This window comes from Homo sapiens, chromosome 9, assembly GCF_000001405.40.
Source record: "Homo sapiens chromosome 9, GRCh38.p14 Primary Assembly".
Lineage (NCBI taxonomy): Eukaryota > Metazoa > Chordata > Mammalia > Primates > Hominidae > Homo > Homo sapiens.
This window is the reverse complement of record NC_000009.12, coordinates 38,966,120-38,982,674: the sequence shown is the minus strand read 5'-3', so window position 1 is coordinate 38,982,674 and position 16,555 is coordinate 38,966,120. Positions and strand designations below refer to the sequence as shown.

General features: G+C 41.3%; 1 long non-coding RNA gene across 3 annotated transcripts in view, besides 1 other annotated feature; it reads right to left on the bottom strand.

Moving 5' to 3' along the window:
• LOC124902157 (uncharacterized) overlaps nt 1-16,555 on the bottom strand; it is a 49,126-nt gene that overhangs the window by 16,089 nt on the left and 16,482 nt on the right. The window contains exon 4 of one of the 3 annotated variants that reach the window (XR_007061493.1): nt 14,300-14,703. The exons of the other annotated variants lie outside the window; for them this stretch is intronic. This is a non-coding gene — a long non-coding RNA (uncharacterized LOC124902157). Of the gene's footprint in view, nt 1-14,299; nt 14,704-16,555 lie in introns of those variants that run through there. 3 annotated transcript variants of the gene reach the window in all.
• Nucleotides 14,340-14,887: an enhancer, noted in NCBI's record as "OCT4-NANOG hESC enhancer chr9:40134136-40134683 (GRCh37/hg19 assembly coordinates)". NCBI's record gives its function as "activates a minimal SCP1, AML or CMV promoter by ChIP-STARR-seq in primed H9 embryonic stem cells {active_cell/tissue: H9 hESC(primed)}" and the evidence as "EXISTENCE:reporter gene assay evidence [ECO:0000049][PMID:30033119]".

The following is a 16,555-nucleotide window of genomic DNA, read 5'->3' as shown; positions in this document are numbered from 1 at the left end:
AAGCTTACAGATCCACTGATGAACCCAGTGCTGCATTTATAGACCCACGTTAAGGGTCAAGCACACACGTCAGCTAGTGAAGAAAAGAAATTCTGACCTGGACAGAGTACATTAGCATCCTTATAGTTGCATTTGCTAAATAAGTCTCTTCTAAGCTCAACTCTCTGAAGAACCTCCAGGAGTTATGAGAGGTTTTGAAGAGAAATTGTAATTACTTGGGCCTTGACGAAAAGGATGAAAAAAGGTCTTTAATAGTTTTGTGAAGGAACAAGAGGATTTTGTTCATGGCCATAAAAACTAAACTCAGCAAAGGAGAAAACATAAGGCAATGGAGAAAAAACAGCCTTCTCAACAAACGGTACTGAAACAATGGGACATCCACATGAAAAAATGAGTCTAGACAAAGACCTTATGAGCTTTGCAAAAATTAACTCAGAGTAGATCATAGACCTAAATGTAACATGCAAAACTGTAAAATCCTAGAGGATAACATCAGAGAAAACCTGGATGACCCTGGATACGGTGATGACTTTGCAGATGATCCAGGAATTGCACTCCTTGCTATTTACCCAAAGGAGTTGAAAACTTATGTGCACACAAATACATTCACACAGACATTTATAGCAGCTTTACTCATATTTGCCAAAATATGGAAGAAACCAAGATGTCCTTCATTAACTGGCTGAATAAAAAAACTGTGGTACATTCAGGCAACACCAATGAAAGAAATATTTTGTAAGCTAGAATTTATTAAAGTTAAAAACTGGCTGTGCATGGTGGCTCACGCCTGTAATCCCAGAATTTTGGGAGGCCAAGGCGGGTGGATCACCTGAGGTCAGGAGTTCAAGACAAGCCTGGTCAACATGGTGAAACCCTGTCTCTATTAAATATACAAAAATTAGCTAGGTGTGGTGGCCGGCACCTGTAGTCCCAGCTACTCAAGAAGCTGAGGCAGGAGAATTGCTTGAACCCGGGAGGTGGAGGTTGCGTGAGCTGAGACACCACCACTGCCCTCTGGCCTTGGCGACAAAGCAAGACTCCATCTAAAAAAAAAAAAAAACCATAGATACTATGAGAATGAGAAGACAAGTCACAAACTGGGACAAAGTATATTCAAAAGTCATGTCTGATAGAGGACTGTTATCTGAGTTATATAAAGGACACTTAAAGCTCAACAATAAGAAAACTAACAACCCGATTTTTAAAAGGGCAGAAGACCTGAAAAGATGCCTCATCCAAGAAGATATACAGATGGCAAATGAGTATATGAAAAGATGTACAACATCATATGTCACTGGAAATTGCAAATCAAAACAACAGAGAGACACCACTACACACCTATTAGAATGGCTTAAATCCAAAACACTGACAACACTAAAAACTGGCAAGGATGTGAAGCAACAGGAATTTTCATTCATTTCTGGGCAATGCAAAATAGTACAGCCACTTTAGAAGAGAGTTTGGCAGTTTTAAAAAAACTAGGCCAGGCGCGGTGGCTCACGCCTGTAATCCCAGCACTTTGGGAGGCGGAGGCGGGCAGATCACGAGGTCAGGAGATCGAGACCATCCTGGCTAACATGGTGAAACACCATCTCTACTAAAAATACAAAAAAATTAGCTGGGTGTGGTGGTGGGTGCCTGTAGTCCCAGCTGCTGGGGAGGCTGAGGCAGGAGAATGGCGTGAACCCGGGAAGGCGGAGCTTGCAGTGAGCCGAGATCGCGCCACTGCACTCCAGCCTGGGCGACAGAGTGAGACTCCGTCTCAAAAAAAAAAACAAAAAAAACTGAACATATTCTTACCAGATGATTTAGCAATTGCATTCCTTGATATTTCCCCAAAGGAGGTGAATACTTGGGTCCACACAAAAACCTGCACACAGATGTTTACAGCAGTTTTATTCATAATTGCTAAAATGTGGAAGCAATCAAGACGACCTTCAGTAGCTGAATGGATAAATAATCTGTGGTACATCCAGACAATGGAATATTATTCAACCTAAAAAGATGAGACCTATCAAGCCATGAAAAGACATCAAGAAACCCTAAGTGGACATTACTAAGTAAAAGAAACCCAATCTGAAAAGGCTAACTACTTTTGATTCTAAGTGTATGGCATTCTGGAAAAGGCAAAACTTTGGAGACAGTAAAAAGATCAGCATTTGCCACTTGTTAGGGAGGAGGGAGAGATGAATAGACAAAGCACAGAGGCTTTTGGGGCACTGGAACTATTCTGTATAATACTATAACGGTGGATACATGTCACTACACCTTTGTCAAAACCTATATTATGTACAACGCCAAGATTAAAATCTGTTGCAAACTATAGACTCTGGATGATAATGATGTATCCATGTAAGTTGGTTGTGACAAGTGTACCACTCTGGTGAGGGGTGCTGATTGATCACGGGGGAGGCAGTGCGTGTGTGGAGGCATAGGGTATATGAGAATTCTCTGTACTTTCCACTCTGTTTTGCTGTGAAACTAAAACTATTCTGTGGAATAAAGTGTATTGTTTTTCTTAAAAAGGTAAACTTAGCCGGGCGCGGTGGCTCACGCCTGTAATCCCAGCACTTTGGGAGGCCGAGGCGGGTGGATCACGAGGTCAGGAGATCGAGACCATCCTGGCTAACAAGGTGAAACCCCGTCTCTACTAAAAATACAAAAAATTAGCCGGGCGCGGTGGCGGGCGCCTGTAGTCCCAGCTACTCGGGAGGCTGAGGCAGGAGAATGGCATGAACCCGGGAAGCAGAGCTTGCAGTGAGCCGAGATTGCGCCACTGCAGTCCGCAGTCCGGCCTGGGCGACAGAGCGAGACTCCGCCTCAAAAAAAAAAAAAAAAAAAAAAGGTAAACTTAGTTTAAACCTAATGTGAGACTTAATCATTATCAAAAAAAGGGAAAATGCTTCCAATTGAGAATTCCTGGAATTTACTGGTGTTTAGTAAAATTAAAGGCCAATGATGAAGAAAGTTAAGGTCTGCCACAGGCTGGATATCTTGTAATGACTTTCTTTATAACTAGTGTATTTTGAAAAGTAAAAGAACTTTATGGGTAGCGAAAACTTAATGAAAATTGCAACCGTCTCATTAGATGGTATCACAGGCATTTAGGTATGTTCAAAGGTCTATGGTTGGGCCGGGTGAGGTGGCTCATGCCTGTAATCCCAGCACTTTGGGAGGCCCAGGTGGGCGGATCACGAGGTGAGGAGATCGAGACCATCCTAGCTAACATAGTGAAACCCTGTCTCTACTAAAAATATACAAAAATTAGCTGGGCCTGGTGGCAGGCGCCTGTAGTCCCAGCTACTCCGGAGGCTGAGGCAGGAGAATGGCGTGAACCCGGGAGGCGGAGCTTGCAGTGAGCAGAGATCCCGCCACTGCACTCCAGCCTGGGCGATACAGCGAGACTCCGTCTTAAAATAAATAAATAAATAAATAAACAAAGGTCTATGGTTTACTAAAAGAGTGATATTCCAATTCAATTATATTTAACGTTTTGGTGAGACATATTTTTAAAAACATGAACCAATAAAACCAAACAGTTTTACTTTAAAAAGTACAAGTTAACTAAGCATGCTAACACATTTCTCAAGAGATGGATGAAACCCCACACCTAGTGGGGTCTAGCAAAAAAAAAAAAAAAAAAAAAAAAAAAAAAAGAAGTGCCCATTTTTGGGAATAAAAAGTATTTACCCCAGTCTTTTTTTTTGTTTTGATAAGGAGTCTGGCTCTGTCGCCCAGGCTGGAGTGCAGTGGCGGAATCTCAGCTCACTGCAAGCTCTGCCTCCTGGGCTCACGCCGTTCTCCTGCCTCAGCCTCCCTACCCCAGTCTTTACTATTTAATACAAGATGTCTAGATTTAAAATGAATTACAAGCTACACAAAAAGGCAAGAAACAACCCATTTCCAAGTGGCCGAGCAATCATCAAAACCACACTCAACACTCAGCTCTGACACAAGTGTTTGTTAGAATTTTCTGATAGAAAATTTAAAAACAACTGTAATTAATATGGTAAAAGCTCTAATGAAGAAACTGGCACCATGCAAAATCAGATGAGTAATTTCAGCAGAGATATGGAAACTATAATATGAATAAAATGGAAATGCTAGAAATAAAACTTTGGTAACAGAGATAAAGAATTCCTTTGATAGACTCGTCAATAGACTTCATGTAGCCAAGGAAAGACTCTTGCACTTAAGAAGGGAATCAATAGAACTCGCCCAAACTGAAATACAGAGGAAAACAAGAATGGGGAAAAAATAGAACAGAGCATTCAAGAACTAGGGATATCTATTCCATGTTATTAAACAATCTAGTACAGATATAATTGGAATCTGAGAGACATATGTGAAGAAGTAATGTCCAAGAATATTCCAGAAGTTAACAACAGACTGGAAACCACAAATCCAAGAAAATTGGAGAACATCAAACAAGGAAAATAAAACATAACAACTTGGGTATATAATTGTCAAGCTATTAAAAACAAAAGGCTTCTTCTCCAGATTTCTATATGTTTTTAAGGAATTAAAGGAAAGGCCTTCTGAAGAAACCATAAAAGCCATTACTTTCTTTTGCAAAGGACAAAACTTAAGCAAAGAACTAACTTAAACATGAAGAGGAATTGACTGTCTCATATAAATGAAAAGTAAGATATATTTTCTAATCCAGAATATTTCTGGATTCAGGAATTAAATAGTATCATCAGGATTGTGTGATTCTGTTGCTGACATCTGCCTTTCACCCTGCTGGGGCCCAGAAACCCATACACCAAAATACAGTGCTTTGACATGATGAACTCCAGAAGAAACTTCAAGGTCTCTTTTTTTTTTTTTTTTTTTTTTTGAGACGGAGTCTCGCTCTGTCACCCAGGCTGGAGTGCAGTGGCACGATCTCCTCTTACTACAAGCTCCACCTCCCAGGTTCACGCCATTCTCCTGCCTCAGCCTCCTGAGTAGCTGGGACTACAGGCGCCCGCCACCGCACCCGGCTAATTTTTTGTATTTTTAGTAGAGACGGGGTTTCACTGTGTTAGCCAGGATGGTCTCGATCTCCTGACCTTGTGATCCGCCCACCTCAGCCTCCCAAACTGCTGGGATTACAGGTGTGAGCCACCACGCTCGGCCACTTCAAGGTCTCTTTGACCTTCCCTCCTCTCCTTTCTCTCCCAAAGCACGAGATAAAGTTGTTCTCTGAAGTTTCTTTATAGGCCTAAAGTATGGAACTAACATAGAAGAAAACAATTACCTCTGGTATTCTCCCTGAGTTTTCCTTAACTGAAATCGTATTGAAGGAAGAAAGACTGAAGTCTGCCAACATATCTGGACAGACTTTTGTCACAAACCATTGTCTGCTCTGTGGGCCCGACACACTTGGTCCCAGGTCATTGTATGTTCTTCAAACCCATTGAATCTCCCCCAAAATTATTTACTACCCTTCTAAAATCATTCACACTTCCCTACTTCTCTTTCCCTTAATAAGAGTGAATAATCACCTGTACCCCAATTTGTGGTGGAGCAATCATTCTGTGATTCTCTCTCATATACCCTAGTAAATGTATACGCCATTTATCTCACTAATCTGCCTTTTGTGAGTTGATTTTTCAGTCAATCTACTGAAGGCAAAAAGATAAGCTTTCCCTTGGCCCCTAACTCTATTGGTCAATAGAGTGTGATACTGAAGGATTTGATACAGAATCAAAAATCAATGGTTAGATCATGTCATAGATCCTCCACTTTGATCAATATAGCTTTAAATTCTCTGGGAGTGATTCTTAACTAATGATGGTCATCAGAGTCACGTGGGAACAATTTCTGAAGACAGATTCCAAGATCATATGAATACAAGAATAGGGCTTGAAGATGCACATTCCCAAAATCTCTTCATGGAATTCTGATGACTTCCCTTTTTGTAAACTAGGTTTTTTGAACCCTGTCTACCTCTTAATGTCTATCCAAGAGAAGACAAGATAAAGACCTTTGAAATAATGCTTAAGATTTGCATAATCAGCCAGGTGCAGTGGCTCATGCCTGTAATCCCAGCACTTTGGGAGGCCGAGGTGGGCAGATCACAAGGTTGGGAGATTGAGACCATCCTGGCCAACACGGTGAAACCCCGTCTCTACTGAAAATACAAAAACAAAAAAATTAGCCGGGTGTGGTGGCGGGCACCTGTGGTCCCAGCTACTTGGGAGGCTGAGGCAGGAGCATGGCATGAACCTGGGAGGCAGAGCTTGCGGTGAGCCAAGATCGCGCCACTGCACTCCACCCTGGGAGACACAGCGAGAGTCCGCCTCAAAAAAAAAAAAAAAAAAAAAAGATTTGCATAATGTTAATCATTGTCTAGCTATGCAGATTCTATTAACAGTTTCCAGAAAAGCAACCTGTTCTGGATGTTATTACATGTTTAAGTTAAATGAGCTCTCTTCTTTTAAAAGAAACAGAACCAAGAACCAATGACTTTCAGAGAATGATTAACTCTCCAACAATAGCCCCTGCCAAAAGTAATGTGACATGAGAGTCTAGAAATTATTTTCTACACTGAAATAAAATTTGCATTATACTGGCAATAAACTATTTCTAGATGCATGAAAGTATCTGCATAGTCAAAAGGCTTAGGGAAGTCTCTCCTGGAGAAAAGCATCCCCAGATGAACGTACTTCCTCTGTAATGGGTGATGGGCAGAACAGAAACACCTGAGCACCGGACTGGAGGTGAAAAGTCCTATGTGGGACTGATTAGATTTGGAATCTTGGAAGTTACAAGTCATTTATGAAGTCTCAGATTACCATATGTAAAATGAAGGGTTTTTAATGAATGGCTGCAATCTAGAGTTTCTATTCACAAGTGTTCTTAAATGTGCTGATTCTAATTGGGGTTAGAAAGATGAGCCCCTGACTTCCTCCCTGAGCCCCTGATTTTTGCTAGCCTGTTGCTTTTCTCTGTACTAATTTCCTCTTCCACAGTTTTTATAACAACAGTGTTAAAAAGGCTAATTGGCTGGAGAAGTATGGCAGATAGCGCAAATTCCAATAGAAGAGCCAATAAGAAGACACTTTACAGAGGAGTTGACTGATGAGCACAGGGACCTTGGGAGCTCTAAGCATGCCAAAAGTTTAGGTTGTAAGAAGGAAGGTTTAGCAAACAGAAGATTTCAAGGGCTTTGTGGTCTGTGTTAAGGGTTTTGGGGTTTGTCCTGTGGAGCCACAGGGATGAAATGGAAACCATTACACTCCCTCTGCCTCTCTTGGTTCATGTGTCCAAAAATGACCCACTCAAGCTCCAGTGCCTCTTGCCTGATGCCTTCCTTCATCACTTGCTGGATACACTGTCCTGAAACAGTGACTTTGTCACGCTTTCATTTTTCAAAAACATATTCCTAATGTAGAGAGTCTGGAGAGGAGCAATGGTAAAGGCAAGAAAACGAGTTTGCAAATTGTTGTAAATGATTCATAAAATAGATATTGATGTTGTTAATTAAGGCAGCAGCCTGGGATAAAGAGTCGTCCATGAGTTTGAGAGATGTTAAGAAGGTAGAGTAAGCAGTACTTTCTTTTTTTTTTTTTTTTTTTTGAGACGGAGTCTTGCTCTGTCACCCAGGCTGGAGTGCAGTGGCACGATCTCAGCTCACTGCAACCTCTGTCTCCTGGGTTCAAGCAATTCTCCTGCCTCAGCCTCCCGAGCAGCTGGGACTACAGTCGCACACCACCACGCCCGGCTAACTTTTGTATTTTTAGTAGAGACGGGGTTTCACCATATTGCCCATGCTGGTCTCGAACTCCTGACCTCATGATCCACCCGCCTCGGCCTCCCAAAGTGGTGGGATTACAGGCGTGAGCCACCGCGCCCAGCCAGTACTTTCTTATTAACTGAATATCGAGGTAGAGGATGAGTGGCAGGAGAGATAGTGAAAAAAAAGCTCAGGGTAACTCCACGTCTGACTTACATAACTGAAGGGACATAATGCCATTTATTAAAACAGGGATGTCTGCAAATTATTTGATTGAGGAAACAGAGAAAATGAGTTCAGTTTTGCATATCTGTTTTTGAGATGTTTGTCTTTGGTGCTTAACTATTTGTATAGCATTTGCCCAGGAGATAGAACTGGCCAGAGATTTGGGGTTATCGCCAACTGAGACCAATAAGTAGTTTAGATCCTCACTATTCAAAGTGTGGTGTATGGCCCAGGAGCATGGACATCATTTGAAAGCTTGTTTGAAATGCACGATTTCATCCTTCATCCCAGACCTATTGAATAAGAATATGCATTTTAAGATTCTCAGATAATTTATATGTACATTAAAATTGGAAACCACTGGTTTACATTACTCAGAAGAATACATTGTGAAAAATAAGCTCAAGGATGGAACATGAGAGACATCACATTCAAGAAGCAGGCAGGAAGAATGGTTAGCAATGGAGACCAAGGAGGCACATTCAGAGACCTTAGAAGAGGGTGTGGAAAAACGGTATCATGGAAGCCAGGGAAAGACAGGGTTACAAGATGAAAGGCTTAACACCTGAAAATTCCAGAGTCAGATGAGCTCGGATCTGACTACTGAGGAATTGACGGCTTCAATGTTTATAAGAGTGCGTAGACCCAAGGAAGTGGGTGGAGACCTAACAAGGAAGTGATGGAAGACTTTTTTTTTGGAGAAGTTTGGCCTTGAAGAGGTAATGGCCGTGGCTGAGGGAGAGAGTGGGTGGATAGAAAGCAAGGTCTGAAATGTAGAATTGGTTTTTCTCTTCACAGGAAAAAATGTTGATCATGTTTATAAATTGAAAAGATTAAAAATATATGAAAGGGAAGACTGATGTTAATAATTGGACAGCATCTTGATTATGACTGAGTAAACAATGTGAGGATGGACTGCCTTTGAGCAGAAGGGTTTTTCCCTCCAAGCCTTCTCAGGTTAGAAGACAAGAACGTGAGCGTGATTGCATGCAAATATGGGTAATATCTTGATGTGGTTGGTTGTTTTAGAGCATGACAATGGAGAGACTTTCTGGCTGATAATCAAATTTTCTTTGTGAATGAAAGGCAAAATCTTCTGAGGGGTGGTGAAGATTTGGTAGAGCCATAGGAGAAATGGAAGAGGATGCTGGAAGTTCTGCAAAGCTGCTCCCGTGGCTGTAAATCATGAGACCAACCTCACTTGGTGGGTGAATTCTTGTGGCAACACTCTATAGCCCAGGGACAGGAACGGGAAAAGTCATGGTTGTTTTGATCCAGTTTGAAAGTTGGAGTGTTATGGGTTGAAGCATGTGGAGAGTGCTGATGAACACGATCAGAACCAAAGAGAACAGATTGAAGCTTTGAGGGGGAAACTTGAAAGGGAGTGGAGGGACTGGCAGGATAAGTGAGATGAAAGTGGACACAGTTTAGAGTTTAGAATTTAGAAGGGAATTAGTTCTCAGTACTGGTACCACCTAGTGTGGAGTGGGTAAAGAGACCAGTGAGGGAAACTGAATATAATAGGGTTTCAAGTTACAATCCTGTCAGAATCAGTTTAGAAGTCGTCTTCCAGACTCCAGTAGCCAAGAGACTTCACATCCGAGGCAGGAAAATCTCTGAAAGTATGAGTTCCAGTTTTCTTGTTTCTTATCACCTGCCTTTGAGTGAGTCATGTCACTCAAAGGCAGGTGATGAGGACTTGGAGACACTTGGAGTTCAATGGGCCTGACCCACTGAGTTGCAGATAAAAATTCACTTCTTTATTTAATTCTTAACCAATTAAATATGCAGTGAGTATGTAGGGTACTCAAAAATGTATTTCAACAGTCATCAGAGCTGCTATAAAGACCACTGAAATATGTCTTAATTATCACAGTTTGTCTAAGAAGAGAAGGCTAACACATTTGAAATACGTACAAGAGACTACGTAATTACAGGTAATTGCCAAATTATAAATATTGACTATGGGACAGGAGCAGTGGCTCACACCTGTAATTCCAGCACTTTGGGAGGCTGAGACGTGCAGATCACGAGGTCAGGAGATCGAGACCATGCTGGCTAACATGGTGAAACCCTGTCTCTACTAAAAATACAAAAAATTAGCTGGGCGTGGTGGCGTGCACCTGCAGTCCCAGCTACTTGGGAGACTGAGGCAGGAGAATGGCATGAACCTGGGAGGCAGAGCTTGCAGTGAGCTGAGATCATGCCACTGCACTCCAGCCTGGTGACAGAGTGAGACTCCATATCAAAAAAATAAAAAAATATATAAATAAATAAATAAATAAATATTGACTATGCAAGTTATAGGAGGTTATAGGAGTTCATGTGACTAAGTAAATCAAGGGGAGGAGTGTAATCAAGGCATCTGTCCCCCTGATAGGTAGACTTTGAATGGGTAGAGGAAATAAGAATGGGCAGGCATCTAAGACAGGCCAAATGCCCCAAGGCATAAATGAACATGGTATGTTTGTGTGGAAGAAAAGGGATGGGCCAAATAGATCTGAGGTGCTGAGTTGAAGTGTGTCAAATGATGCTTCTGTAAGGTGTGATAAGGTCAGATTATAGAAGGCTGTGCTAACCTAATGGAGAGAAAAGCTCACAGATAATAAAATGAGGGAGTCACTAGGTCTAAGCAGAGATAAAGAAATACAAACTTTCACAGATTATAAGCAATAGAAGATATTCTTTAAAAAATTAAATGCATACAAATGAAAATATCTGCATAAGAAGACTAGAGCTATATAAGGAACACAACGAAGTTGGGAAATATTGTGAATAATACTACCATCATGAAGACAACTCTCTATATTAAGTAAGTTATTTCAAAAAATAGGAGGAAATTCAAGAGCAGTAAAAAACAAAAGGAAAAAACTCTATTGTCAAGATCACATATGAGATAATGTAAATAGTTTAAAAAGTGGGAAAAATTTTATCTATCTAATAACCATAGACATGCAAGTTACAGTAGTTCAAAGCACCATTTTATGTCTAATTACTAATAAAATCTCTCTGAAAAGATAAGCCTTTCCTGGCAGTCCTGTGGAGAACGGGATGCATCATGTGCTACTTGTGACCTTGTAACCTAATGGGTGCATTCAGAAAGTAACATACAGATGCTATATAATTTATAAAAATTTCATCTTCCTTTAACTAATATCTCACTACCAGGAATTTATCCTAAGACAAGTTTTTTTTCTTTTTTTTGAGACAGAGTCTCGCTCTGTCACCCAGGCTGGAGTGCAGTGGCGCAATCTCCACTCACCGCAACCTCTGCCTCCTGGGTTCACACGATTCTCCAGCCTCAGCCGCCTGAGTAGCTGTGATTACAGGTGCTCGCCACCACACCCGGCTAATTTTTTGTGTTTTTAGTAGAGACGGGGTTTCACTGTGTTAGCCAGAATGTTCTCGATAAATCTCCTGACCTTGTGACCTCCGCCTCCCAAAGTGCTGGGATTACAGGTGTGAGCCACAGCGCCCGGGCGTTTTCGCTTGTTCAAGTGATTCTCCTGCCTCAGCCTCCTGAGTAGCTGGGATTACAGGCACCCACCACCACGCCTGGCTAATTTTTTGTATTTTTAGTAGAGACGGGGTTTCACCGTGTTAGCCAGGATGGTCTCGATCACCCGACCTCATGATCTGCCGGCCTCGGCCTCCCAAAGTGCTGGGATTACAGGCGTGAGCCCCCTTGCCTGGCCCATAGTATGTTTTATAAGTGTTCTGAAATCAAGTAATAAGAGTTTTTTTTAATGAAGGTGAGATAAGTTTCTGGCAAATGTAGAACTTGAGAATTAATGAAGTGTATACTTCTCATTTTCTACTCTAACCTTTTGAAATTAATACAATTTGAACATGAAATATTTCCATGAAATTACAAGAGAACTTTGATGTTTGTTTCTGCATTCTGGGCTCCCAGAAACATGGTGTAGCATGGTCTGACCTGCATATCTTTGGAAATTTATAATAGGTTTCATTGTCTGATCTTAACCAAAACCCAATCCTTAATAAAATAGCCCAGTATATATATGGTTTTTTTCCTCTACTAAATGAATTACAATTCTCTGCTAGCTACCAGCACAGGGAAAATTAAAGAGAAAACCTTTCTTTCCTTACAGTGCATGAATTCTACCAGTGTGGAAGAGTGAGAAGAACCCAAGCTTCAGAGTTTTACAGCCACAGGATCAGATTTTAGTCTATTCCACTACCCAAAACTAGGCAAGTTTTCTGGGGTCATCTAGCCTCTATGACCTCATCGGTAACAACAGGCTTCACTGTGGCTTAAGTGAGATAATGAGTAGAAATGGAATGGTTTGGGCCAGGCACAGTGGTTCACGCCTGTAATCCCAGCACTTTGGGAGGCTGAGGTGGGCAGATCACCTGAGGTCGAGAGTTTGAGACCAGCCTGACCAACATGGAGAAACCCCATCTCTACTAAAAATAGAAAATTAGCCGGGCATGGTGGCATATGCCTGTAATCCCAGCTACTCAGGAGGCTGAGGCAGGAGAATCGTTTGAACCCAGGAGGCGGAGGTTGTGGTGAGCTGAGATTGTGCCATTCCACTCCAGCCTGTGCAACAGGAGCGAAACTCCATCAAGAAAGAAAGGAAGGAGGGAAGGAAGGAAGGAGGGAGGGAGAGAGGGAGGAAGGAAGGAAGGAAGGAAGGAAGGAAGGAAGGAAAAAAAAAAAAAGAAATGTAATAGTCTGGTAGGGTGATTCCCAAACTGCTGCACATTAGAATGAAGTGGGAAGCTTTTAGAAACACAGCGTCCACATTGCACGCAACATCCATGAAGTCAAAATATTAGGCATGGGAACCAGGCATCAACAGTTTTTAAAGATCCAAGATGATTCCATTGTGCAGCAAAATTTGGAAACCAGTGCCTAGCACAAAGCAGGTACTCAGCAAAAGTCAACTTTCTTTATCTTTCAATGTGTGGTGTATTTGCCAGCTTTCGGGTAGCACTTCCTTATCTTCAATCCTTAAAACTCTGCAGCAGAGTGGCACTGCATAGGTAAATGCTACACTGACATCTTGCTGCATGCCGCACTTTACTGCAGTGGAAAATAATGAGGAGCTAGCCAATACCCATTATTAAAGTGTCACACAAGTGTTTCATCCCATCCAGTCACATTTTCCAGGGGCTTCCAATTCACACTTTCGTAAATGCGGCCGTTTCCTCTTCCTGTGACTTAGATGAGATGGAAACAGACATGCTCTCAAGTATCATATTAGCTTTTTTTCAGAACTTCTTTAGTTTTCTGGTGAGGCATCTGTGCCTCCTAGAAATGCACTTTAGACCCTGCTATACAGAAAAGTAAATTTTCTTACAACTGGTCTGAAGCATATGTATTATTCTTTTAGATCTGATGTATCAAATGCCCACGGCCCTAGGTATGCCTGTGTTTCTTTAATCTATAATGATCATTTTATACAATGTTCTGGCACCTTGCCCAGCACACTCCTTTACCTATAGCAGGTTTAGCAGGCTGGGTAATTGCCCCTTTTAAAGTTGTCTGCACTCAACACTGCCCTGTCTGGTAAATGCAATTAGAAGCAAATCCTTGGGTGTATCACCCCAGACTTTTTATTAAGCTCATATGGCATTCTCATTGCCACTATTTCTCACCAGGTTACTCATTAACCACGGGCAGCCAAAGGTCTGGATCATATCAGACGGTGACTTTCCGACCCATGAGACTCCCTTGTTCACCTTAAATATAAACCACATAGAGAAGAAACTGGGGATTTGCATGCCTGAAAGCTGACGGTGGCCATAACAAAAGCAATAAACAGAAATCCTAGAGATAGTGATGACAGAAGAAATGTCAAGGAGTTAGAGGGAGCACTTTGTGTTGGCACTGAAAGCAGCCAGAAGAAGACTCAGAGTGAGACAGAAGTTGACTCATGCAACAAACCTTCACCACTGACAGTCAAACAAAATGACTGAGGAGCGTCTCAATCATGTTAGAGGTTTATTTTGACAAGGTTAAGAACGCACCCGGGAAAAAGGAACACAAAACCACAAGAACAATCTGTGATCCATGCTTTTTCCGAAGAGGGCCTGCGAATTTTAGTATTTAATGGGAAAGAGCAGGCAGTAGGAGAAAGAGGAAGAAAAGAAAAAAGGGGGAGGGTAGATAAAAGGGGCAGGCAGTTGCATTCTGTTGAGTCTTTGATCAGTGTGCACTGAATCCACATTTCACATGTCAAAGGAAGGGGTAGAGAAATAGTCAATTATGCATTCATCTCACACTCAGTGAATCTGCATTTTTACATAAGATAAAATAAACATAAAGTAGAGGAAGTAATCAGATATGCATTTGTGAACCCAGAAAATCTGAGACAGGTCTCAGTTAATTTAGAAAGTTTATTTTGCCAAGGTTGAGGACGCATCCATGACACAGCCTCAGGAGGTCCTGATAGCATGTGCCCAAGGCAGTTGGGGCACAGCTTGATTTTTACATTTAGGGAGACATGAGACATCAATCAATAGATATAAGAAGTACATTGGTTGGGTCTGGAAAGGCAGAACAACTGGAAGCAAAGGCAGGAAGACTCAAAGCTGGGAGGGAGCTTCCAGGTCACAGATAGGTGAGACACAAACAGTTACATTCTTTTCAGTTTCTGATTAGCCTTTCCAAAGGAAGTAATCAGATATGACTCCTTTGGTGCCGGGCGGCGGGTGGGGGGCGCTTTTAGTTCTATCCTTTGTCCTTTGTTCCGGGATCTGTGAAGATAGCTGTTCTCTTGCATTTTCTGGGTGAAATTCAACAGAACTGTTTTAGGGTAAAGATCTTGGGACCCACAAAGAATTTCGTTTTGAGCAAATTGTGAGAGAGGCATGTATCCTTTTAGATCTGTAGCTGTCTTATTTAGGAACAAAATGGGAGGCTGGTTGGCATGACCCAGTTCTCAGCTTGACTGTTCCCTTCAGCTTAGTGAGTTTGGGGTCCAGAGATTTTATGTTCCTTTTACAGCACTCAGGAGGAACTGAGCATAAGCCTATTTCTCACAGCTTTGAGGAGCACTAACTGAAGTGCTCAGTTAGCAGCATTTGAATTAATTATTTCACAGCTCATCCTTAACCAAATTATTTTTTAAATGATTCTAAAACTGGAGTTTTACCTTAAGCTTAGTATTTTGAGGTAATCTTAGCAGCAGGTGGACCTTAGCTCACTAAGAGCATGAGAGCTCTTAGTCACCTCACTCATCAGTGGCTTGGCTCCTCTTTCGGAAGGCATAAAGAACCTCATCCATCAGTGCCCACATACTCCTGTAAGCGCAGGCCCCTGTTCTTTGCTTCTGGGAAGCATCCATCTGGTCCTGTATTGCTGTCGTTCCTTTTCTGTCTGTTTTCCTATGCAAACCAATCTATCATTCTATTTTGTTGCCCCATTTCCAAGTCACTTGACCAGATGGATAACCACATAAAAATGGCTAAATAATTTAAGCTTAAAAATTAGGAGCAGGAAATAATGTAAACTGGAATAGTAAGAAAATGCTGAAGGTGAGACTTGTGGAGGGCTGGCATTGTGGACGTCTTTAAGATATAAGACTTTATTATAACAGTCAAAGCAAAGGGGACACGTAATTAATACAAGACTTTTTATCAAAGAGGAAAAGCTGTCATTTTCTCAGGAATCTAATACTATTCTAAGACTTAGGTTTAAAATGTATCAGGAGTGCCTTCTAAGTGACTGTGGAAAGGGGGAAATAGTAACTATATATTTTGAATGAGTGATTCTAGATCGTGGCTTCTATTTTATGCCTACTCTTCTCCCCTTGTCTCTTGTAAACTCACTTACAACCAGATCATAATAATAAAACTAGAATGCAGAGTGGCCATACAGTACAGTGACTAAGCACGCCAGCTCTGAAGCCAGACCTTTTGGTTGGGATCTCAATACTGTTAATTTCCTCATTTGAAAGACCAGGGTAATATAATCCTTCAAGAGAGGGTTGTTATTAGGGTGGACCTGATAAATAGGGTGGACCATATAATTTGTCATACAGATGGATGCTTTAGAAAGTGCGATAATGTTTACTTGTCAAATTATTATCATGCTATTTTGACTATATTTTCTTATATGCTTTACTTGGAATATTTAAATTAGCCCATATGTAACTAGAGTCTAAAATCCATAGTTCAGGGAAATTGTGGTTGTATTTTGTCCCTTTAAAAAACACAGGGGCATTGGTGCCTAAATCATTGACCCCTGCAAAATGCAACAGGTTGCGTGGAAGTGAAACATAATGCCTCCAACCTGCTAGTTATTTACACATGTTGACCTAAGGAACACACAAGCCAGATATTCTTTAGGTTGTCTCTTTTTATTGTTAGACCACTGAATGGCAAAGTACTTGGTCTGCATTAGATTTATTTACTGTTAAAAGATTTTCAAGAAACTACAATTTAATAACATGTCCCTGAATTTTTTTCACGAGTTGAAATAATAAATATACAGTATCTATTCATCTATCCTGGAAAGCCCCTGATAAAAGCACTGCATTTTCTTAATCAGTTTCCTTTTCTGTAGAATAAATTTCTGTTATGCTTCTTAATCAGCAAAATGACAAACAAATTAAGAAATAACCTCAAACTTAACAA